Source organism: Homo sapiens, chromosome 6 (genome assembly GCF_000001405.40).
Source record: "Homo sapiens chromosome 6, GRCh38.p14 Primary Assembly".
Lineage (NCBI taxonomy): Eukaryota > Metazoa > Chordata > Mammalia > Primates > Hominidae > Homo > Homo sapiens.
This window is the reverse complement of record NC_000006.12, coordinates 151,617,091-151,643,548: the sequence shown is the minus strand read 5'-3', so window position 1 is coordinate 151,643,548 and position 26,458 is coordinate 151,617,091. Positions and strand designations below refer to the sequence as shown.

At 39.9% G+C, this 26,458-nt stretch overlaps 1 protein-coding gene and 1 long non-coding RNA gene across 5 annotated transcripts in view; both read right to left on the bottom strand.

Moving 5' to 3' along the window:
- Positions 1 to 11,147: 11,147 nt before the first annotated feature.
- Positions 11,148 to 16,974, bottom strand: LOC124901435 (uncharacterized). The gene is made up of 2 exons (XR_007059816.1): positions 13,567 to 16,974; positions 11,148 to 13,032 (listed from the first exon to the last, which is right to left on the bottom strand). It is a non-coding gene; the product is annotated as an uncharacterized LOC124901435 (long non-coding RNA).
- CCDC170 (coiled-coil domain containing 170) overlaps positions 22,356 to 26,458 on the bottom strand; it is a 127,177-nt gene continuing 123,074 nt past the window's right edge. For all 4 annotated transcript variants that reach the window (NM_025059.4, XM_047419372.1, XM_011536148.3 and 1 more), the window contains one exon: positions 22,356 to 25,602. In NM_025059.4, the coding sequence (NP_079335.2) occupies positions 25,402 to 25,602 (201 nt within the window). In that variant the 3' untranslated portion in view covers positions 22,356 to 25,401. The remainder of the gene's footprint in view (positions 25,603 to 26,458) is intronic.

Below are 26,458 nucleotides of genomic sequence, written 5' to 3'. Positions count from 1 at the left end.
AGTGGGCTAAGGACATGAATAGACAATTCTCAAAAGAAGATATACAAATGGCCAAGAAACATTCAAAAAAAAATGCTCAACATCACTAATGATCAGGGCAATGCAAATCAAAACCGCAATGCCATACCACCTTACTCCTGTAAAAACGGCCATAATCAAAAAATCAAAAAACAGTAGATGTTGACGTGGATGTGGTGATCAGGGAACACTTCTACATTGCTGATGGGAATGTAAACTAGTACAACCGCTATGGAAAAGAGCGTGGAGATTCCTTAAAGAACCAAAAGTAGAACTACCATTTGATCCAGCAATCCCACTACTGGGTATCTACTCAGAGGAAAATAAGTCATTATACAAAAAAGATACTTGCACACGCATGTTTATAGTGGCACAATTCACAATTGCAAAATCGTGGAACCAACCCAAATGCCCATCAATCAATGAGTGGATAAAGAATCTGTAGTATATATATACTAGGGATTACTACTCAGCTATAAAAAGAAGAGAATTAACGGCATTCGCAGTGACCTGGATGAGATTGGAGACTATTATTCTAAGTGAAGTAACTCAGGAATGGAAAAACAAACATCATATGTTCCTACTGTTATATGGGAGCTAAGCTATGAGGATGCAAAGGCATAAAATGATACAAAGGAGTTTGGGGATTTGGAGGGAAGGGTTGGAGGGGGCAAGGAATAAAATACTGCAAATAGGGTGCAGTGTATACTGCTCAGGTGATGGGTGGACCAAAATCTCACAAATCACCACTAAAGAACTTACTCATATAACCAAACACCACCTGTACCCCAATAACCTATGGAAAAAGAAAAAGGGGGACAAAGTATCCTTTTAGTGAAGAATGGCAATGAAAAGAGATACTTATGTTCTACCATAAAATAACAGCTGGTTGTCACCACAATTTTAATAATACAGTTAAGAGCCCATAGTGAATTTATCAAAACGTTTAATCTATAAATGAAGATGCAGTTCAAGGAAGGCTCATGACATGTTGGGTTTGAAGACTTATTCAAAATTATCACTTTAACCACGCCCCCCAACACTCCATTTTTAGATCATGAATCCAAAGATCAAAGAGGTTGAGTAACTTTCTAAGCTAACATGATGCAGAGCAGTAAGACAGTGGGAAGATGTCAAGATCTGGAACCTAGAATTTGAGTTGTGTCTCCACATCCTGTCATTTCTATCATCTTTCTTGTGTCATTTTTTATCTTTTTGAAATGGAGTCTCTCACTGTCACCCAGGCTGGAGTGCAGTGGCACTATCTCAGCTCATGGCAACCTCTGCCTCCCAGGTTCAAGCAATTCTCCTGCCTCAGCCTCCCGAGTAGCTGGGATTACAGGCGCCCGCCACCAGGCCAGGCAAATTTTTGTATTTTTAGTAGAGACAGGGTTTCATCATGTTGGCCAGGCTGGTCTTGAACACCTGACCTCAAGTGATCCACCCACCTTGGCCTCCCAAAGTGCTAGGATTACAGGCATGAGCCACTGCGCCCCAGCTGCAGTATTTCTGTCTTACAAGTTTATCTCGTAACATCTGTTTGGCATGTCAGGGCTTTCTCTTATTTCTTGGACTGTCAAGGGTACCCCTTCTATTCTAGTCTGATTATAGATTTTTTTATTTCCTTTTTAGACCAGATCCAAAAATTCTAATATTTGAAAATATGAGTGCCTGAAGGAAAGAATAGAATGGAAGAAAGGCAGTACTCAAAGCAATAATAAAGAAATACTCCAGAACAAACAAAAATCCTCAGATTGAAAAGACAAAAGATGAATAAAAAATGAATCACGCAAAACAGTACTGTAAAAATTTCAGAACGCTAAATATAAAGAGAAAATCTGAAAGTCTTGCAGAGAAAGAGATAAAATAAAAACCAATTATCAACTAAGAAAACAGAATGAGATCATCAGACTTTTCTTCAGTAACTCTGAAGCAAAGATGACAGTGAAACAGACATCTCAAAGGTTGTATTCGGCCATTCTTCCATTGCTATAAAACATATATGAGGCTGGGTAATTTATCAAGAAGAGAGGTTTAATTGGCTTACAGTTCTGCAGGCTATACAGGAATCATGGCACCTGCATCTGCTAAGCTTCTGGTGAGGCCTCAGGAAGCTTTTACTCATGGTGGAAGGTAAAGCGGAAGCAGGCACATCACTTGGCAGAGCAGGAGCAAGAGAGAGAGGAAGGAGGTACCGCTCACTTTTAAACAACCAGATCTCATGAGAACTCATTCACTATCCCAAGGACAGCACCAAGCCATGAGGGATCCACCCCCATGACCCAAATACCTTGCATTAGGCCCAACCTCCAACATTAGTGATTACATTTCAACATGAGATTTGGAGGAGACAAATATCCAAACCGTATCAAAGGTCAAAATACAAATATTTCTAAGCTCAGCCAAAGTGTAAGAGCAAATAAACACATTATCACACTATAACATCACTAATCACAAACTTATGTAAACCATTACTGGAGATGTTCTACAGGGGGAAAAAATCTGAGACACAGAAAGAAGATCAAAATAATGGTGACTACTAGAATAAGAATAAACTTAGATCAGTGGAGTGGAATTGAGAATTCAGAAATAAACTCAGGAATTTATAGTCAACTGACATCGACAAGGGCAACAAGAAAATTCAAGGGAGAAAGAGAGCCTTTTCAACAAATGGTGCTGGAGCAACTAGATAGCCACATGCAAAAGAAAGAAGTTGGACACCTACCTCACGCTATACAAATTTTAACTCAAAACAGATCAAAGACCTAAGGGCAAAAGCTAAAATTATAAAACTCTTAATCCAGGCACAGTGTCATATGCCTGTAGTCCCAGCTACTCAGGAGGCTGAGATGAAAGTATCACTTTTGAACCCAGGAGTTTATGACCCACCTGGGCAACATAATAAGACCTTGCCTAAAAAAAAGAGAGAGACAGAGAGAGAAAGAAAGAGAGCGCGAGATAGGAAGGAAGGAAGGAAGGAAGGAAGGAAGGAAGGAAGGAAGGAAGGAAGGAAGGGGAAAGAGAAAGAAAGAAAGAAAGAGAAAGAAAGAAAAAGAGAAAGAAGGAAAGAAAAAGAAAGAAAGACATAAATCTTCATGACATTGGATTAGGCAATTATTTCTTAGCTATGACACCAAAAGTACAAACAACAAAACAAAGAATAATGATAATTTAGACTTCATCAAAATTAAAACTTTTGGCTTCACAGAATATTATTTAAAAATGAAAGACAACACACAGAACAGTAGAAAATATTTGCAAATCATATATCTGATAAAAGATTTGCATCTAGAAGATCTAAAGAGCTCTTACAATGCAATAATAAAAAGAAAAATAATACAACATTTAAAATGGGCAAAAGGGGTGAATAGATATATTTCCAAAGAAGATGTACAAATGGCCAGTGAGCACATGAAAATACGCTCAACATTATTAGTTATTAGAGACATGCAAATCAGAACCACAATGAAATACCACTTCACACCCACTAGGCTGGCTCCAGACAGTAACAAGTGTTGACAACAATGTGGAGAAATTGAATCCTCATGCATTGCTGGTGGGAATTTATAATGGTGCAGCTGCTTTGGAAAAAAGTTTTGCAATGTCTCAAAAGGTAAACATAGCATTACTATGTGACCTAACAATTCCACTCCTAGGTATATCAACAAGACAAATAAAAGCACACATTCACACAAGAACTTGTATACAATGTTTTTAGCAGCATTACTCATAATAACCAAAAAGTAGAAACAGCTCTAATGTTTACCAATAACAAATAGATTTTTTAAATGTAGTATATCCATACAATGGAATATTATTCCCCCATAACAAGGACTGAAGCACTACAATATGGATGAACTTCAAAAAAGTTATGCTAAGTGAAAGCAGCCAGTCACAAAAGGCGACATATTATATGATTCCATTTATATGAAATTTCTAGAATAGGCAAATACATAAAGACAAAAAGTAGATTACTGGTGGCTTAAAGGTAGGGAAAGTTGTGGGAGGAAAAGGATGGGTTTCTTTTAGAAAAGACAAAAGCATTCTAAAATGAAATTGTGTTGATGGTCACAAACTTTTTGAATATACTTTTAAGAACATGAAAATGCACACTTTTAATTAGTGAGCTGTAAGCAGTGTAAATTGTATTTCCATAATGACGTTGTTTTAAATTAGTTTTTAGCCAGGTATGGTAGCTGACACCTGTAATACCAGCACTTTGGGAGGCCAAGGTATGTGGATGGCTTAAGCACAGGAGTTCGAGATCAGCCTGGGCAACATGGTGAAACCTCATCTCTACAACAACAACAACAACAAAAATACAAAAATATAAAAATTAGCCAGGTGTAGTGGCACATTTCTGTAGTCCCAGCTACTCTGGAGGCTGAGATGGGAGAATCACCTGAGGCCAGGGAGTCAAAGCTGCAGTGAGCCATGATCACGCCACTGGACTCCAGCCTAGGCAATGCAGCAAGACCCTGTCTCAAAAATAAATAAATAAAAGAAAGAAATTAGTTTTAAAAAAACTAATCTTCAAAACCATTTTAAAAACAATATGTAGACAGTGTTATAAGCATTGAATTATGCTGAAAAGGCTGTTAATAAACCAAGAACAAGGGGTTAAAAAAAAACTAGTGCAATACCACTAAAGCAGTATTCAGAGAAAAAATTCAGAGGCTTAAATATATTCATTAAAAACCAAAAAGACTAAAAATAAATGAGATAAACTTTCAACTCAAGAAATTAAAGAACAACAAAATAAGCCTCCCCCCCCAAAAAAGCATAACAAAGGAACAAATAAATAGAAATGCAGAAATCAATAAATTTGAAAACACAACTAAAAGAAAAATTCAAAAATTGTTGATCAATTAAACTTAAAGCTTTTCTTTGAAAAGGACAGTAAAATAGGCATAAACATAGCAGGAGGCACTCTTGATGATGTGCTTTTGTTTTCTGTCCTCTAACTGCAACACTCTCTCCAAGTATTATGTTCATTCAAGGTGCCCCTCCCTCAACTCTACAAAACTGATCTGAGAGAGGAGCCTCCCCCGTCTGCTTTTGCCACCAGGCTCAGTGGAGACCAGTTCAGCCATTGTGAGAATTCTCCAACACTACAGTATCTTTTGTTTGTTTGTTTTCTCTTAATGTGGTAAGAACATTTAACATGAGATCTACCCCCTTAACAAATTTTTAAGTGCACCGTACATTGTCACCTCTAGGTAGAATGTTGTATATCAAATCTCTGAGCTTATTCAACTTGTTTAACTGGAACATTATGCCCATTTCTTAGTAACTCCCCTGTTTCCCTTTGCCTCCAGCCCCTGAAAACCACCATTTCTCTCTTTGATTCTATGAATGTGACTATTTCAGATATCTTATATAAGTGGAATCATGCAGTATTTGTCTTTCTTTGACCGGCTTATTTCATTTAGGATAATGTCCTAAAGGTCCATCAATGTCATGCCATATGATAGAAGAAGCAGAATATCCTTCTTTTTCATGGCTGCATAATACTCCATTGTATGCATATACCGTATTTCATATCTTGGCCACTGTGAATAGTGCTGCTATAAACATGGAAGTGCTGATATCTCTTATTACCATGTAACCCAGCCTTCCCACTTCAGGATATGTATCCAAAAGAATCGAAATCAAGATCACAATATCTTGATGATTGTGAAAGGGCACAAACAGGTGGAGGCAAAGATGGTCATTGGGACAGTGGGTGTCATGGATGATTCCCTCATTGTTGAGCCTGCTTCTCCCAAGATTCTGAGGTGAAGCAACAGATATCACAGTAATCTCTGGTGTTGACACAGTCATGAGCCATCATTTTCTGAACTTCACAAAAGAATCTTACAAAAAGTAAAGTGATTATAAAAAATTCATCAAAGACAGACTCAAGAAAACCAAAGCATAAAGAGTAAAACCTTTACAACCAGAGCTGCAGAACAAATCAAGCACATAAGCACATGACACTAAGAATACTTACATTAACAATTGGTAGCACTTACGTGCATCAGACACCATTGTAAGTTCTTCACTTATATTAACTCATTTAATTTTCATAATATTGCACAGTAGGTACTATTATTGGCTCCATTTTCCAAATAAGGACATGGGGCAGAGCACTTAGTTAATTTACTCTAGTTTACAATGCTAGTATGTGTGGGAGTCAAGATTGACATACAAGCCCTCTAGCTCCAGAATCTATATGCTTAGCCACTATAAGTAACCCCAGTAATCTAAACAACAACAAACATGAATCCAGATGGCAGAAGGATATTTTGACTCAATAAATGATTTATTTATGTGTGGCTTTTAAAAAGAAAAATATTCACAAATACGACTAACTATTGTGAATTGATCACATGTCATCATAGCTGGTATTGCTTTTCCTCATTCACAGAACATCAAGATTTAGACATATGAATTGATATAACCTTGAGTTCTATATATTTATTTTGATTTATACTTATTCATAATAGAGGCTTTTTAAAAAATTACACACATCATCCAAAATAAAACATCAACTTTTAAAATGTATGATTTAAAAATATGAAAAATACAGAGATTTTGAAAATAAGGGTAGACCAGGTAAAAATTGGTAGCAAGAAACATAAAATCTATGTAATATGGTTGAATTTCTAAAAACAATATGAATTTCAATATTAGCACAAGAATAAATAAACTTAAATATACCAGTTAACCATAGAATAAGTTAGAAAATTAGTCAAAGTCTAGCTCCTTAAAAAAAGGCACAGGGTCCAAATAGTTTTATAGGTAAATTCTACAAAATTTTCAAGAGACAGGTGCTATAAACAGACATTTTCTAGTCCTGGGGTCAGGAAACAACAGCATAGTTGGCTATTGCCTGCTTTTGTGAAGATTGGAACACACTCTCGGTCATCTGCATACAGCCGATGGCTGCTTTACTGCTACAAGAGCAGAGCTGAGTAGTTGTGACAGACCTGTAAAGCCTAAAATACTTACTGTTACTTTACAGAAGTTTGCCAACTCCTGTCCTACAGAAGAAATACAATGATCAATGAATACAAGTGGTGGCCATAAAAATGCACCACTCAAGCAGGACACGGTGGCTCACACCTGTAATCCCAGCACTTTGGGAGGCCGAGGAGGGCAGATCACGAGGTCAGGAGTTCAAGACCAGCCTGGCTAACATGGTGAAACCGCGTCTCTACTAAAAATACAAAAATTAGCCAGGCGTGGTGGCAGGTGCCTATAATCCCAGCTACTCAGGACCCTGAGGCAGGAGAATTGCTTGAACCTGGGAGGTGGAGATTGCAGTGAGCCAAGATTGTGCCACTGCACTCCAGCCTAGGCGACAGAGCAAGACTCCATCTCAAAAAAAAAGAAAAAAGGAAGAAAGAAAGAAGGAAGGAAGGAAGGAAGGAAGGAAGGAAGGAAGGAAGGAAAAAGGGAGGGAGGGAGGGGAGGGGACAGGAGGGGAGGGGAGGAGGGGAGGGGAGGGGAGAATGCACCACTGAGATCTTTTGCTGTAGGAGTATAATAGACAGACACCCTGACAATCGAAAGCACTCCTGTGTTCACCCCAAGGCCATGCTGCCCAGGGGCTGCTTCAAGCCAGTGACTAAACACAGCAAGGCTATTTATATGGATCCATTCCTGCGAGATATAGGACTCCTCTGAGAGGAGACTTCAGCTCCAGGGCTCCACAGCAGCCTGAGTGAAACATTTAACTGTTGTTGATGTTTGATATCAATTGTTAGTAGAGAAACTGATTTTCTCACATGGACGGGAAATTGAATAGGGCTAGTGATTTCACTTTACCTCATTTTTTGTTAATATTCAGAAGAAGAACCTATTCATATATTATTTTCATGAAGTGTATGTGTGTATGTGTGTGTGTGTGCATGTGTGTGCATGTGCATGTGTGTTTTAAATTGAAGTGGTAGCAATTCTCTTCTTTCTCCCTATGGTCTATTGGGTAATAAATATTTGAGGGTTCACAAATAGTGCGCATCTTATGTATGCACAATCTATAAACTCCTTCAAAGATGAAGGTTGCAAAGAAATTGCATTATCTGGGGGTTCTTGTTCTACTAATTCAACAGAAAATAACTGCTCAGTTATCAGAAAAGAATACATAGGCCAGGTGCAGTGGCTCACGCTTGTAATCCCAGCACTTTGAGAGGCCAAGGCGAGTGGATCACCCAAGGTCAGGAGTTCGAGACCAGCCTGGACAATATAGTGAAACTCCGTCTCTACTAAAAATACAAAAAATTAGCTGGGCGTAGTGGCGGGCGCCTGTAGTCCCAGCTACTTGGGAGGCTGAGGCAGGAGAATGGCGTGAATCCGGGAGGCGGAGCTTGCAGTGAGCCGGGATCCCGCCACTGCACTCCAGCCTGGGCGACAGAGCGAGACTCCGTCTCAAAAAAAAAAAAAAAAAAAAAAAAAAAAAAAAATTAGCTGGGCGTGGTGGTGGGCACCTGTAGTCCCAGCTACTCAGGAGGCTGAGGCAGAAGAATTGCTTGAACCCAGGAGGCGGAGGTTGCAGTGAGCTGAGATCGCACCATTGCACTCCAGCCTGGGCAACAAGAGCGAAACTCCATCCCAAAAAACTTTTTTTAAAAAAAAAGAATGCATAGAGCACCTACTTCCAATAAACTTTCAATAATAAGAGAGGGTTCAGTGAGGATAGATAGATGGATAGATAGATAGATAGATAGATAGATAGATAGATAGATAGATAGACAATATAGATATAGATAGATCGACAAGAAACCCACATATATATATATATAGGCAAGAAACCCATATATATATATATATATATATATTCAGTAATTGTCCAGATGTATCAAAGTACACATTACACTATGGTTTGTAATTTGCTGTCAGTGGCACCCAGACTAAGCATCAGATAGAAGAACTTGCTGTGTTTTCCAAGCGAGTTTTACAAAAGGAAATGACTGGTCATGAGGAGTTGTGAGAACCGAGCTGTCATTCTTTGAATGTGGTAGATGTCTCTGTCCTTGAGACTCATAATTAGATAAAACATTCTGAGAAGACCATGCCTAGAACAAAACCTCATCTAGGCCATATGACAATTCTTTTCCACTCAAGCAGCCTCACTTTCATGGGTCGCATTTACTGAAGATGAGATAGTTTATTTATCTGCCCTCACAATCCATCTGCTCCTGATATCTCTTTAGTGAAGTCTTTTAATATTATGAGGTGCACATCAATTCCTAATGGCAGCAAGAGTCCATGTTTTGACTTCCCTGAAAAACTTTAATAACTCATAGTTAACATCTTGTCAGCCTTAGCACTCTCTTCCATATTAGATCATAGAGCAAACTTGGAGCAGGATTGAATCATGTAAGCAACAATGTCTTCTTAGTGTGTGGGTTCTATGGCTGTAGCTAGCAAACTAAGAGATGGATCACTGATTTGAATCAATTCAAATCCCAGGAGTTGGTGATTCAGGTTCCACTGAAGCCTGGTGTAGGGTCTATAACAGGTGGCCATCTGGGATTGAAGCCAACCCACAGTCTTGGCCCTTTACCCACCCTACCCTGGGTATGCTCAAAATATGCCTGTCCCACCAGGAACCCTTAAGAGCAAGCGTCCTTGGTCAAAGGTCAGCCACAGTACAGAGAAAGAATATCAGCAGAAAGATACACTAGCCCAGTGCACCTGGACAAAGGCATAGCTCACTCCTGTCTCTTAGCACCATAGTCTTACTCTAATCGTGCCTCTAGATTCCAAGGGTTAGTCTGCCTCTACCAGGGAGAACTGGCATTCCTCCCTTGCTTTATGCAAACACGACTTTATCGTTCGTGCATTTGTTTGATGTAATAATGGCAAACATTTGTTGAACCCTACCATAGCCAAGCAGTTTTCACTTGCATTCTTATTTAACCCTTACAGCTACTGTACCCCATGAGACAGGCATTACTTTTGCTCCCATTTTACTGCTGATAAACAGGAGATTTAGAAAGCTACTTTGGCCAAGATCACACGGCTTGACAATGGTGAACCAGGACTTAGGGCTAAATCTCTCTGATTCCAAAGCCCAAGCTACTGGATGGACTACTACATAATATGGCCCCAAATGTGTTAGTGCCACGAGCTGGTCATCTAACAACACTTAAGATTGTTTCTGACAAATCCAGTTTCATAGAAATTTGAGAATATTTTTAAACTGGTATGCAGCCATCCATATATTTATTCATTCAAGAAACATTTGTTGAGGGTCTACTATGTCTCATCCCAGATGCAGCCAAGTTTCAAATATTAGGAAGATACTATATCTTAGGAACTCACAGGCTAGTAAGGGAACAGAAACACGAATAACCATAACACAATAAGATAGAAGGACAACAATGAGAATACATCAACAGGTTCCCTTCTTTACAGACTTTTCCTATTTCTCAGCCTTTATTTAGATCATGTATTCTTTGGTAATTTTCCTAACTACAATTTTGCAACTCACAAAGAAATTTTGTTATATGCTCTCCCTCACATAAAAAAACAGATTTGTTAAAGCATCAATAATTTAATAATTCTTCCTCAAACATTTGATCATGATAGCTAATATATTTCTGTTTATTTTTTAAACTTATTTTTTATTTACACAATGCTCAGATTAATTTAAATCTCTCAAACATTATTACCTTAAAAACTGTTCTGGGAGGAAATATTTGCAGAAGACATATCTGATAATGGACCATTATCCAAAATATACAAAGAACCCTTAAAAGTCAACAACAAGAAAATGAACAATCTAATTTTAAAATGAGCAAAAGATCTGAACAGACACTTTGCCAGAGAAGATATACAGATGGCAGTTAAGCATATAGAAAGATGCTGAACATCAAATGTCATTAGGAAACTGAAAATTAAAGCAATAATGAGATACAAACACATACCTATTAGAATGATCAAAGTCCAAAGCAACACCAAATGCTGCCAAGGATGTGGAGCAACAAGAACTCTCATTCATTGTTGGTGGAAATGTCCCTTTAGGAGACAGTTTGGCAGTTTCTTACAAAACTAAATATACTCTTACCATACGATCCAGTAGTCATGCTTCTGAATTTACCCACGAGTTGAAAACTATGTCCACACAAAAAGCACGAAAATGTTTAAAGCAGTTTTATTCATAATTGCCTCATTTTGGAAGCACCTAAAATGTCCTACCATGGGCAAAAGGATAAATAAATGGTGGTGCATCCAGACAATCGAATATGATTCAGCCTTAAAAAGAAATGAGCAGCCAAACCGTGAAAAGATACGGAGGAAACTTAATTGCATATTGCTAAGGGAAAGAAGCCAATCTGAAAACGCCACATACTGTGTGATTCCAACTACATGACATTCTTTAAAAGGCAAAACTGTGGAGAGTAAAAGGATCACTGGTTGTCAGGGGTAGGAGGGGGAGAGGGATGATGAGGCAGCACACAAAGAATTTTTAGGGCAGTGACACTACTCTGTATGATACTATAATGGTGGATACATGTTATGATACATTTGCCAAAACTCACAGAATTTCCAACATTAAAAGTGAACCCTAATGTAAACTATGCACTTTGGTGTGTCACTGTAGGTCCATCAGTTGTCACAAATGTGCCACTCTGGTGCAGGATTTTGACAGGAGAGGCTGCGCATATGTGGAGGGAGGGAGTATGAGGGAGATCTCTGTACATTTCACTTGGTTTTGCTCTGAACCAAAAACCGCTCCAAAATATAAAGTTTATTTTTTAAAAACTGCTCATTCCAAATTGATTTCTTATCTATTCTAGCCTCTAATCATGTACTGAATGTATTTTTCCTTGAAGATCTATAATCTTCTCCAATGTCCAAACCACTCAATTCATTTCATCTAATGCAATGAACAAAAAGCAATTCAGGAAAGGGAAGCTGAGTCGGTGGGACACAGCAGTGCTGGTGCATGTACCAAAGCCATCCCACAAAGCAAGGAGATGCTTCATGTCAGATATATTCTGCAGCTACAGTGCAAACAGGCCCATATCCCTTCTAATACAGTCCGGTTCAATACTGTCTAGTCAAGCTCTCAGAGCTCTCTTAAAATAACCTGAATCCCTACTCCACTCTTCTTACTAACCACATGTTTTGGAAAAAAACACCATTAGGGTGCAACTGGCACTGACATTTTCCAAATAAAACATTTATTGCTAAAAATATAATTCGTCTTGTTTTTCTCTTGTAAACACTAGTTTTGCTGGCAAATAGAAATAAGAGTTGCAATTATTGTGGTGAAGCGGTTGGAGTGCCTGTGGGTTTTTTTTTTCTTCCTTTCTTTCTTTTTTTCACATTTCCACAGGCCAACAGCTGCAGTGCTGGCTTTCCCAGCAGCCAGGACTCCTGAAAACTCCCTAGGTTTCTTCTGATGGACTTCCTGGCAACAAGGCATGGGCCCCTGATGCAGATATGCTACTTTGAGCTCATTGAAAGCTCTACTGTTTTCCCACAACTGTTCATTTGCCATTGGTATGATAGCATCCGTGCTAAATTTTTATTTTGGTATAAGGTTATGTCTCACACTATTTTATGGAGGGTGTTTCAGCCATCTACTGCTACGCAGCAAACCACCCCAAAAAGTCAGTGGCTTAAAACAACAATAATGCATTGTTTGTCATGATCCTGTGGGTCGACTGGGCAGTTCTGTTCATAACTGGAGTCCCTTATGTGGTTGCATTCAGCTGAAAAATTGGCTCAGGGGTGGGCTCCAGTGGGATGCTGGGATGACCAGCCTCTTACTGCATGTGGTCTTAGGATCTCTCTTCAAGACTAGCCCAGTCTTCTCTTCTTGCATGGCATCTGCATTCCACAGGGCAAGCCCCAGTGTGCAAGGGCTTACCAAGCCTCTGCCTGCAGCACACTTGCCAATGTCCCATTGCCCAAAGCCAGTCAGTTGGCCAAGCCCAGAGTCAGTGTGGGTTGGGGAAGGATTGCAAAAGGACATCAATACTGGAAGGTATGACTCACTGAAGACCATCCAACAGTCTATCCCAGAGGGAGGAAAAGATAAGTATTTGATTACAGTGATTTAGTCTAGAGATAAAGCCATTAAATATGAATACATGATGATTGGACCTATTAAGGGCCTCATATTAATATTAATAATAACTTATACATATTGATTTGATAATATGCTGGGCACAGGACTAAACTTTTCATATCTATGATTTTACTTACCCCTCCGACCAACTATAGGAGATTAGGACCATTGTTAACCTTCATTTTCTAGATGAGAGAACCAATGCCCAGAGGTAGAAGCAAACAGCCAAAGTGGGGTTCAGATTAGAGGCCAGTGAGTACACCTAGAAATTCCATGCCCTTAATACCCATGTTATCAGACTCCTATGCAGAATGGCATAGAGGTCCCCACTGTAGTGAAAGAGGCATGGCTTTAAAAATTCAGCTTTAACATTCAATTGAAGCCAATCAGCCTGATCCCCAAACCAGGAAGTCGGAGTGAACTCCCACAAACACAAAGCTCTCTGTTTGGCAGGCGTCTTTCCTCCTCAGCCAACTCACCTGGACTTCTGAGTCAGTGGCAGACGCCTAGGTACAGAGCAGTTCCCACTCCCGTGTAGGACAGGGCACAACCTGGTCAGATACCCAGCTTCAGGCCTGACAATGGGCCCCTCCAAAGAAGAGGCAGAATAGCATGGGAGAGAGAGAGCACAGCAGGGTCAGACCAGCCAGTGGTGGGTTAGGGGAAGATTCAATTACATAGAGCTTACAGTGTGCTCAAACACACCCTGGTGCATAAATAAATGGTGACTATTATCATTAAGATTATGGTTAGGGGAAGATTAAATTACATAAAGCTTACAAAGTTTTCAACACAGTCTCTGGTGCATAAATAAATGGTGACTATTATGAAGATTACGATGAAGTGGTTTGCAGAACTGTTTTGGAAACTGCCGTTTTCCTGTAACTCATCACACACTCTGAAAGAATCACACAGAGGATTCTACCATCTCTGCGAAGGACATCATTGCCAGCTTCTAAGGACTATTAGCAGAACCATGCGGACTATATATTGGCTTACATATAAGAAACCATAAAAAAAAAATTTAAATAAGCTAATTAGCATTAAAAAAGTGATTCTCAAAAGTGTGCAACCATGTTCCCCAAAGTCACAAATTATATCCTGTCAGTAGGTACAAATGTCAGCTCAACCTCTGCACTGAGGGTAACCAGATTGCATGGGTGAAGAATCACATTGAATTGGGTTCCTTTTAGTCCTAGTATTTTACTTAATTTTGTGTATTTTTGCTAAAAGAGAAAAAATTTGAAAACAAATATTAAGAGTCAAGTGTTTAAAGAGGCATGAACGTTTTGCAGATCTTTTTCACATATTTTACAAGTTTGGCATTTTTCACATTGCTACAACCATACACAATCAAAGTGTCATAAACATGACCGGCACTTGCGTTAAGTTTATAGAGGTGTTTAGGGAAGTGTTTTAGGTTACTTACTGTCTTAGCTCAGGCTGCCATAACAAAATACTATAAAATGGGTGGTTTAAACAACAGAAATTTTCTTCTTACAGTGCTGGAGACTAGAAGTCCAAAATCAAGGTGCCAGCGTGGTTGGGTTCTGGTGCTCTCTCTTCCTGGCGTGCAGAGACATAGATGCCTTCTTGCTGTCTCCTTACAGTAGAGAGAGCGCAAGCTCTCCAGTCTCTTCCTCTTCCTATAAGGGCACTAATTTCATCATGTGGGCTCTTCCTAACGACTTCCTCTAAACCTAATTACCTTCAAAAGGCCCCACCTTCAAATACCATCACATCTAGGTTAGGACTTCAACATATGAACTTTGGGGAAACATATTCTTTCCTTAACACAAATTCTTCCGGTTTCCTTAAATGCAATCACAACCAAAAGAAAACCATAAAAGATATGAAACCAAAATAATGCCCACAAATCATCTGTTCAATTCTCTGTTGCTTTTAGATATCAGGGTCCTAAAAAGAGGAAAATATGGCTAAGGAAGAGATGAAATGGGCAGCTGAAGGACCCATTAGAAGGTCTCTTTTTTCCAAAAGATAAAAATTACCGTCTTGCTAATAAAGTTTGTGTTGAGGGGTTTTGTTTTGACTTATATTCACCTTGAACAAATAATGAAAGCAACAGAGACATCCTGGAACAGTAGGAAAAGTAGGAGGTGTGAGTCATCCAAAATTGAATGTGAATTCCATGCTTTCACTTTCTAGTTTAATGACCTTGGGTGAATCCCTTTTAATCTCTTTAAGCCTTTCTCCCTCATCTACAAAAAGGAAAATCATAATTTCTTCATTAAGAGCTATTGTAAGGACTACACGAGTGATTGTGCATGGAAATGCTTGGTGTACTATTTGGCACAGATGAAACATGTGTTAAACGTTTCTTTGTTCTGCCTTCTCAATGGGCTTTTCTTTTTTGAAACCAATTACCTTCCAACCAGCACTGCATCAGGAAAAAAGTTCTCATTGAAAGCCCCAGTTATTGGTAAATATAAGCTTTTACCTAAAAGCTCTACATGAAGAAATTAAAGTCTTAACAAATGTTAACAGTGTAATTAACAATTGCTTTTCAAACATGGGGCAGGTGAATGAGTCATGCTTCTCACATTCAATATATACCCCCATGCTCTCAGAATGAATCATTAGTTTTACACCTACATGCAAAACCAGGAACTGGACTAAAGCCAACTAATATTTTTCAGGAGTACAACAGTTGCTTCTAAAGGCACACCATAGTGCATTTGCCATCAAAACTCCCTCGTGGGCTTAATCCATCCTCTAGTAAAAGGTACAAGGTATAGACTGGTCAACATTTCCCTCAGTTTTCCTACTAGGTAGGTGTCAATCCGGTCATTACAACACAGAACTATCACAACGCTCTCATTTACAAACAAATAAACTGCTGGTCCATGGACTAGAAGCTACTTTTGATCCTCAGTTCACTATGCAGTTTATCATATCACTGAGTCCCTTCTGTGAGCAGCCTTGAATTCTTTCTGTCAATTCAGGACAGGGGAAGGAATAGTATAAAATAGTATCGTAGATATTGTGGATTGGCACTCAACATCCATTTCTCCCTTCTTGTTGTGAAGTGTTTTTCCAAACTGCCAGTTATCGTCCATTAGTCCATCACGAAACCAACTTAGTGGGTCAAGACCAGCATTTCTTAATGGAATGAAATAGCATGGAATAGCATAGCACTGCTCAGCATAGACTAGAATTGAAACCATCAGGGTGCCTCAACTGTCTTGTGAATCTTTTATTTCAGGTAGATGCGTATGTGACTGTATGTATGTGTGAGGAAAATGATTCTACAGTAGAATATGTCAGAACTTTTGGAAAACACTCTTCCAGCATGCCTTTCTGTACCTCCATCATTGGGAAGCTGAATGCTATGATTCCAGGAATCCCTTGAGAAAGGATTCCAGATGTGATTTGGATTTAGCCATTAGATGCCCGAGTGTGAGATGTGGACGATGGCAGTGGTCACACCTCTACTGCCACAGCTATTTCTGATGGATGCTCTTGGACTTCTGTGGCATCATTAGCAGAGGATGCAGAATATGGTCACTATTCTGTGGTTCCTGAGAGGCAGGGTAAAAGGCACACATTTTGTGGTCCAGATAGCAGCAGGTGCAGTAGGGTTCTAGAATTAGCAGTAGGAGGGAAGGCACCCTGAAAGCGGTGGCTTCAGGATTAGGGTCGTATCAATGCAATTCTGCATCCACCTAGGCGTAGCAGCAGCAGCTCTCTTGGTGGTTTAGTTCTGTGGTGGGCCTTTGGGAATTTCTGTGGAAAGCTCAACCTCAAGTTCATTTCTTCAGCCCTCACATGATTCTGTAAGCCACCTAGTACCCTATAATAAATCCCTTCTTAGGCCGGGTGAGGTGGCTCATGCCAGCACTTTGGGAGGCTGAGGCAGGTGGGTCATCTGAGGTCAGCAGATTGAGACCAGCCTGACCTGACCAATACGGTGAAACCCTGTCTCTACTAAAAGTACAAAATTACCTGGGCATAGTGGTGCATGACTGTAATCCCAGCTACTTGGGAGGCTGAGGCAGGAGAATCACGTGAACCTGCGAGGTGGAGCCTGCAGTGAACCGAGATCATGCCATTGCACTCCAGCCTGGGCAACAAGAGCGAAACTCTGTCTCAAAAAAACATAAAAAATAAAAATAAATAAATCCCTTATTGCTTAAGCCACTAGGAGTAGCACCTATTCTGGTACTGTACCCTGTTGCAATTAACAGGAAAGAAAAAACTAAATATTTTTCTGGTACTCAACATTATACTGGAACTCAGTTATAAATTTCTATTGGATAATTCTGAAAAGAAGCTGAAAACTGAACACAGATATTTTGGGGTTTATTTTGTTGTTTTTGGGTTTTGTGACTCCTCTAGCACCAAGTGATCAAAAAGTACTTATGACTGACAGATTGATAAAACCATATGATGGAAGTCACAAAAATGGCTGAGTATCTTCATAACCAATTGCAGAGAGAAGGAATTAATCTGTTGTAGGTTTTCTGGAAGACTCTGAGATGGAGATTTGGATGCAGAAGTTTAGTCGAATCGCACACTCAGGAGCTAAACCTGCAAGAAAGTAAAAGAGCAGGATGGGGAGGGACTGGCTGCCCTGACATGCAGTTGCAACAGAGGCCTCCCCAATCTTACAAGAAAGGAGGGGTTTGGAAACTGAGATGACCCTTCAGAGTGGTCCTGCATGGAGGGAAAAGGGCCATGGCTGTGTACCCCTTCACTGGCTAGCCACTGGATGAGAGTTGCCCTTGGAAAGGGTCTGCGACCCAGGATGAGATAGCTCCCTTCATCCAAGGGCAAGAACTTGGAAGGGACCCAGATGTGGCTTGTCAGAAGTCATTTGCTCTGGGCAGCTAGAGAACAAGTGCTTCAGTCCTACAGCAGGACTGGGGTACACCACGACATCTGCTGCTGAGCACAGACAAGCATTCCTCTTTATCATTTCTTTATAGCTTCCTAAATGCCTTGGGAAGACATTCACAGTCCTATAGGAAAACTGGAAAGGTGTTGTTCTGAGTATGTAAATGACTTTCAGCATGGTAGCAACAACAAAACCCCTCTTCCACTTAGCAATACTCCAGCTACGCGTGATTTTCTGATAGAACATAGTGAGTCTGGAGCCAGAGAGCATGAGTCCAGGCTTTGACCCTATTTTCAATTTCCAGATCAACAGCGGGTGCAATCTCTCCTTTTATATTTATTGTTCGTTACCACTTGAATAGTGGCTTTTTTTTATACTACCTCTTCCCTACTTTCTGCTAAGTCAAGAATTAACCACAGGATTACCCAAGGGATTGCAGGGAAAGTAGCTTTGTGAAATGGAAAGTTCATGGGACCAGGAGTTAGGAAACCTGGAGCCTGTTCTCAGTTCGGCTAATTCATTCATTCTCTCTCGCGCTCTCTCTCTCTTTCTCTTTCTCTTTCTCTTTCTCTCTCTCTCTCTTTCTCTCACTCTTTCTTTCTTCATTTCCTAGGAATAACCATGCCTGCCCTATCAGAATTATTGTGGAGATCAAAAAAAGTAATGTATGTGAGAACATTGTAGTAAGAGTTATAATACATCTGTAAGCTATTATCATTATTGGTCACCTGCCCACTTTGTAATTACGTAAATTATGCATTGAGAATCCATTCAAATCTCTATACAGATAATGGTTAAAAGTCCTGGTCCATAAAGAGAGGAGGATCCAATCCACCTGAATATTCAAACTCCATTCTATCAGCTGATTCAGTCAGACATTCAACAAATGCTCACCAACTATGGGCCAAGCACTAGACATGTGATGAACAAGCCTACAGGAGGCAGCGTGGCTCGATGTGAATCATGTGGACTTTGAAGTAACACAGAGTAGATTTCTATTTTACCTTAGGTGGCTGTAAGCTTCATTTCTCCGAGTCTCAGGGTTTCTTTGTCCACAAAAGGAGATGCTACTATGGGAAGTTGTTGTAAATAAGCGTTGGTCTAGCTACACACAAGATGCCATGGAAACCCCCAGTTGGGTTACCTACCCCAGCCTTAGGATATCAGAGAAAACCCTCTTGTGCCTTCAAACTGAGTCCCTTGTGTTCTCATCATTCAGCTCTCATTTATAAGTGAGAACATGCAGTGTTTAGTTTTCTGTTTCTGTGTTAGTTTGCTGAGGACGATGGTTTCCAGCTCCACCCACATCCCTGCAAAGGACATGATCTCACTCCTTTTTATGGCTGCATAGTATTCCATGGTGTATATGTACCACATTTTCTTTACCCAGTTTTTCACTGATGGGCATTTGGGTTGATACCATGCCTTTGAAGATAAGCACTTTAAAAGTAACACAGATTTGCTCACAAAAATGAGAACACTGGAAGAATGAAGAAAAAAGCCAGGTTGAACGGATGATGGCATGAATAAAAGGTGAGACCAGAAAGACAGCATATACAGGACACTTCCAAGGGGCTCAACTGGGGAGAAGAAGACAGAGGTAGGGCTCTGAGGAGAAGTTGCTGTGGAGTAGAGAGAGGGATGTCTTTGAGATGAGAGAGATTTGAACATTTTTAAATGCTGATGGAAATAAGTCATTTATGAAGGTGAGGTTGACAACACTGGAAAGAGAGGAAAACAATTGATGGGGCTAAGTTGCTGTGGATGCAAGTGCCCAGGTAGAGAAAATAGCTGAGACAGGGAGAGGCAAGGAGGGAAGGGGGGGTGTGGACACATATAAGGCTGTATTAGGATGTGATATTGAAGGTGTTTCCTATAATGACTTCTATTTACTGGGTGAAATAGGAGATGAGATTGTCTGCTGAGGGTGAAGAGGGAAGACACAGGATGAGAGCCTCAAAGGAAAAAAGAATATTTGCAAAAATCATTTTGGAAAATAACAGTGAGATGTAACAGGGAAAACAGTGCAGCTTTACCAGTTAGGACAGGAGGCTCAGATAAGATCAAAAACCATGAATTTGGGATGCCACTTAGCTGTGATTTCATGTGATTTTCTCCAGCTTCATTCAGTGGGGCAGGAAAAGCAGCAGAAACATTGATAGTTGGGAGTAATTCAAAGTCGAGGACAGAAGGGCAAGGGAACAACGAGTTAAAGGTGTTAGGAAGAGAATGATTGAAGAAATGAACCTTAATATCTAGGCTGGCTCCAGATGGAACGAGGATGGGCAAGACTGGGAGGGAGAAAATAGGAGGACCAGGGAAACGCAAAGGCTCAAAGGCTCAAAGCACAGCTATTTGGGAGTAAGAGATAAAGGTTTGGGATGGTAAGAGGTTGTAGAGCTTTTTAGTTAAGATTTCAGAGATGCATAAGTTCTAGGTGTTAGTCCTGACAGGCCACGTGTCACAGAAGTGTGTGTGTGTGTGTGTGTGTGTGTGTGTGTGTGTGTGTGTGTGTGTGTCTCACCAGCTGCCCTTCCTTTGGGGAACTTTCCCTCTGTCATTACATGTGGTCCTGGTTGAACAGGTAATCCTAGAGCGTCACCCGACCCCAACCTCACTAACAGTGGTTGGCATGGAATGCAGGCTGGTGAGTGAGTTCATCCACCTGGCTACAGTGATTGGTTCAAGGATACGTATATGACCTGGAAGAGATGATCAGCCTCTCGGCTAATATTTTTGGCATGGACACTTGGAGACAGGGGGTGTCTCTTTTTCTCGACTCATGGTGGGTTTTTTTGGTTTTGTTTGTTTGTTTTGTTCTGTTTTTTTGCCCAGAATGGTCTTGAACTCTTGAGCTCAAGCAATCCGCCCTTCTCAGCCTTCCAAAGTGCTGAGATTACAGGTGTGAGCCACGTGCCTGACCACATGAGTTGTAACAATCATGCAACTGCTTGTGATCATCTCTTCTGGTAGCATGGAGGAACCCATGTGCGGAAGGAAAAAGTCAGGCCAACATGCAAAGACAAGCAAAATCAAGTCAACATGAGAGATGGATAGAAGCAGAAAGAATTCAGACACCAATTCTGAACCCCTGGATCTAACAAAGCTGAAGCTAGTCTACCCCTGAATCTTTCAAGCAAGCCCCCAAAATTCTCCTTTCAGCTTAAGGTAGTCTAAATTGGATTACTATAAGCTGCAGTCTAGGATGTGAGTGGCTGAAACAACAGGAGGTAAAAGTATGGGCACTGAGAAGGCCAAGGAACTAAAGATATAGGCCAGGTGTGGTGGGTCATGCCTGTAATCCTGGCACTTTGGGAGGCCGAGGCAGGCAGATCACCAGGTCAAGAGATCGAGACCATCCTGGCCAACATGGTGAAACTCCATCTCTACTAAAAATACAAAAATTAGCCGGGAATGGTGGCACGTGCCTGTAGTCCCAGTTGCTCGGGAGGCTGAGGCAGGAGAATCGCTTGAACCCAGGAGGCGGAGGTTGCAGTGAGCCAAGATCGCACCACTGCACTCCAGCCTGGTGACACAGTGAGACTCTGTCTCAAAAAAGAAAAAAAAAAAAAAAAAGGTATGATGTCACATGAGTTGGCTTTATGGGCATTAAAGCTACCCAAGATGAAGGCAGCACCCGGTGGGGGTAGTGAAGACACCTATGAACCACTTGCAAAAGTCTAAAGCAGGGAGAATAGATAGGCTTTTAGTAGGTAACCCCAATGAGGTCTAGAAGAAAGTTATCCATCTATCAGCTAGCAGGAGCCTCAAATGAACCATGTGTTTATACAAAGGCAGAGGAATACGGTATGGAAGCACATAGCGGAAAGAGAAGCATACAGACCCCACTTGCTAATGAGAAGCTAAGTGAAGTGTCCAATAATGTGGATAAAATCACTACTGCATCAACTGGGTGAGACTTTCCAAGCCAAAGGCTACATAACCATGAAATGCTTCCCCAGTTAAAATGAGACTCCATTTCTGAGTCGTAAGTATTATGACAATATCAATAATGTAGATTTCTTTAACAGCTTCAGCCTGCCACCCCTGGACCTTGAATCACTTGCTGTTAACCTGTAAAACAGACTGTAAGGTAAAACTGGAAATTTTAGATAGGTCAAGCTTAAATTGTTTTCCCTAAATGAGATGTTTTTATGCATCGATTTAGATGTCTCAGACAGTGACCAGAATAATAACCTCAGTGCAAAATCACTATCACTCAAGTGTATTTGACAGAAGAGTTAGTATTAAATATTTTAAAGCCTTATGTAAAAATCATATCAACCTAGTGCATTTTATTGGACAGCATAAAATATACATGGATATTATAGAAGAACAAAATCTAACCTAAAAATTCAAAGCTGGCCTGCCAACTCTGGAATGATTGCCATAAAGGGAAATCCAACAACCAACTGGCATTTTAACAAAGAAGAAAATGGCTTTATTAAAAGTTTTCAATTTGTCCAAATGACAAACACTTAATGTGTATATGGACTGTATACATGTACAGAATTTATTGTTCCCATTTCATATACCCTTTTCATTAGAAGTCCCTAAAGATCATATTCAAACATTTTTCATATTTCTGAGTATGTTAAAGATCACTGTAGATCATTCTGTGTATGTTAAAGATCACTAGAGTCACACAGTGGAAATATTATATAAACATATATTTGGATAAATGGAATGTAATTTCATGTAATAAACAGAAATTACAGTACTAACCACTATGGATCATTTTTAGTCTCTTACATGAATCCTGATATAAAATTAATGATATCAAATCAAAAATGAAAAAAAAATTTCATGTTTTTAAAATATTATTTAAAATATCTTTGAATAGCGTAGAAAATAAATTTCCCAAGAAACTAAATCAAGTTTATTAAAGATTATATTTGGAAAATGAAAACAAAGAGAATGTACAAAAACAATCTCCACTCTCATACACCCACATCCACCCATAACTGCATTTATGGGTGCATGATTCAGGGTGGGGCAGAGCCACTCAAGCTCCGAGAGCCTCCAGAGACCCAGTGAAGTCACTTCCTCCACTCAAGGTGATTTTCGATCCAAAACAGCAGACACTACTACATCTTTGGAGCATGTGAAAAGGGGTTGGTGGGGAAAACTGCAGGCCTCCCCTAGAGGAAATTCAAGACTGCCTGTCCTGCCTCTGGCCAGCCTAGTGACCTCAGCCAGGGCTGCGCAGGTGTGTTTACTCACATGCAAAATACTACTTATACTGTCCTTGCACATGAAGGAGATAGCTAGGCAGGGATGCCCGCTCCACAAGCAAAGCCTGGTCACTCTCCCTCTGTGTGGTCTGTCATCCAACCAACAGGTGTCAAATTCATTCGCTTTCTTTTAGGTTTTTCTGTTTCTTTCTTTCTCTCTTTCTTCTTTTTTTTTTTTTTTTTGGAATCATCCATTCTACATTTATTGGTAGTTTTCCTAAAAGAAGATCTTCACTATTTTTTCCCATTTTATCACTTATTGTCTGTAGCACTGTGGATTCTCAGATTTTTAGTTATTTAAAGTATAACAATCAGTGCATTTGTCAAGCTTAAAAAATTAAAAATATTTTAATATAATCTAGGACTTAGTCCACATTCAAATTTTTACAATTATTGCAAGAATATTTTATGCTTTTTTTCATTCAAACCAAGATCCAATCTAGTTTTGACCCTTGCAATTGATTGTTTCATCTCTTTAATTTCTTTTAGTCTAGAAGAAAGAAGCCAATAATTTGCTTATTATGACTTTGACTTTTTGTTGTTGTTGTTTTTTGAGACAAGGTCTCTCTCTGTTGCCCAGGCTGGAGTGCAGTAGCGCGATCTCGGCTCATTGCAACCTCCGCCTCCCAGGTTCAAGCAATTTTCGTGTCTCAGCCTCTCGAGTAGCTGGGATTACAGGCATATGCCAACATACCGGGCTCATTTTTGTATTTTTTGCAGAGACGGAGTTTTGCCATGTTGGCCAGGCTGACTTTGACTTTTTGATGACTCACGAACGGTTGGTTGTATATTTTTCATTTTCTCCTAATGTTCGGGTGCACCAGATCTATTTCTTTCCCTTTCCTTTAATTTCATGCTAGAGCTTCTTTTAAGGACAATAAAAAAATACATCTTATATGATAGAAATAAGATAAATTGTCCAAAAGAGTAACACATTTTTCTCAGTGAAGTTAAGAATATGATTCCCTGAAAAATTTGTAAAATAGAAATTTAAATGGAAAACAGAAAGTGACAGGAATTCATAATAAAATCCTGATCTTAAAAAGGTACCATTGCTGTGGGTGTATTGGATATATTGGTGAATAAGACTATATAGGATTTCTTCATCTTATAGGGTTGGGCTCCAAATAAAGCTTTCCATTTTAAAGGACTGAGACCAGCCCTGCTGAAACATTAACAATTACCACCAGATATAATCTGGTAGCAACAGTTAGAACAGGCAAGTTTCTTACAGGACCTGAGACCTATGTAAGTTTGATCCAAATGAATTAGGTATATTGCTTTTGCTTTTTGAAGAAATCATATAGCTTACACTTGTAAATCTGTCATTTTTGGACATTAACTTTTTTTTTTTTTTTTTTTTTTTTTTTCTGAGATGTAGTTTCACTCTGTCGCCCAGGCTGGAGTGCAGTGGCACAATCTTGGCTCACTGCCGCCTCCGTCTCCTGGGTTCAAGTGCTTCTCCTGCTGAGTAGTTGGGATTACAGTCATGCACCACCACACCTGGCTTATTTTTGTATTTTTAGTAGAAACAGGGTCTCACTATGTTAGCCAGGCTGGTCTTAAACTCCTGACCTCAAATGATATGCCTGCCTTGGACTCCCAAAGTGCTGGGATTACAGGCATGAACCACTGTGACCAGCCCGGACATTAACTCACGATGGCAGGGTTATTGTCCTTCCTCTATGCAAACAATTCCCACCAGCATCACAGAGATTCAGGAGAAACAGATTCTGCATAGCAGGAGAAGAGGTATGGCTTTTGAGGCAGGGCCAATGAGTTGTCCATCCTGGTCCCACCACTACCCAACTGCAACCTTGGATAGGTAACTTTATGTCTGAGCCCCAGAAAGGTTGTAAATTAAAAATGTCACAGCTTCTCCACATGGTTATTGTGAGAACTAAATCGGCTAGTAAAGCCCCTGACTTAAAATAGATACCTCCCAATATTATCTCCCACTCCCATTTCCCAATCTAACTCATGCAATCTGGTGGAATTCTTCTGGATCCTAAAATGCTAGTAAATGAAATAATAGGCGTTTTTAATGCTGAACGTTTATCTAAGGCTGACACTTTTGAGATCGTTTTTGCAAGTGATGCATTCTCACTATATCATCAAAGCATAAAATATTCACAAACTGATCAAATCTCAAAGACATGAGGAATTTGTGAAATTGGGAATTGTGTGCCATGTCTTATGGCCACCTCTCTCAAGAGATACAGTGTTCAATGAAGAAGCTGTAAATGGCCTTGTGGGTGCCTCTCTTGCCCAGTAGTCACATCTTTGAGGCAGGCACAGGTAACAAAGTGATGCTGATGTGAATGGACCAATCTTTCAAGACACTTGATGATTTCATAATCAGGAAGAGCAAGGCTGGTCACGTTCAAGCCTAGCATCTGCGACACCACCTCCCTGAAGTCTGCCAGCTGCAATATCAAACAGAAACTCATTAACTGGGAGAACAAAATGTATCAACTACTGCTGAGCCAAATGCAACAAACAAAAAACCTGTAGAAAACCCAGGTTTGCATGAGGTAGGGAAATTATCTACTCTCTTCCTAGTTCTCTCACTTATAAAATACCAGATTCCAGATAAGTCACATCAACTGCCAACCTTCAGAGATTTCACAATCACTTTTCTGATGAGCCAACTGATGTGGTATTGGCTACTAAGTCAAGAATCCAAGTTAAGTAACCATGAATGAGACCCAGACCTCACTAAGCCTTCATTTTCTCATCTCCAGGTTGGGATTAACCATACACCTACGTCGAAGGGCTGCCCTGAAATTCAGATCACATGAAATGGTGACTGTGTGTGTGCTCTGCATACTAGGAAGAACTAAACAAATGTTGGTGGGGTTGTGCCCATGGATGGTAAACATGCTTTGGGATTTTAGCTGGCTGATAACCTCTTACACTAAAAAAAAAAAAAAAAAAAAAAAAAAAAAAAAAAAAAAAAAAAAAGAACAAACAGCAAGAAAGTATAAGCTAATGAAAACAGGAGGACTTCTAAATTACTATCAAGTCATGTCACACAGATTGCCATTTCACAAGCCATATTCCATGGGACTGCTCTGGGACTTCTATTTGTCCATTGAAGAAAGAAAAGTAGGGGCTGGGGACAATGGTTGAAATATGCCTCATATCCCTTCAAATTCTCATAGGCTGGTTTCTGTGGTTCTAGGTTAATGCAAAAGCAGATAAATCAGGGCATCTGGCCAACACCTCATTAAAGGCACCCTCCATTTTAGAAAAGGGATGATCCAAACTGAATACAGTTAC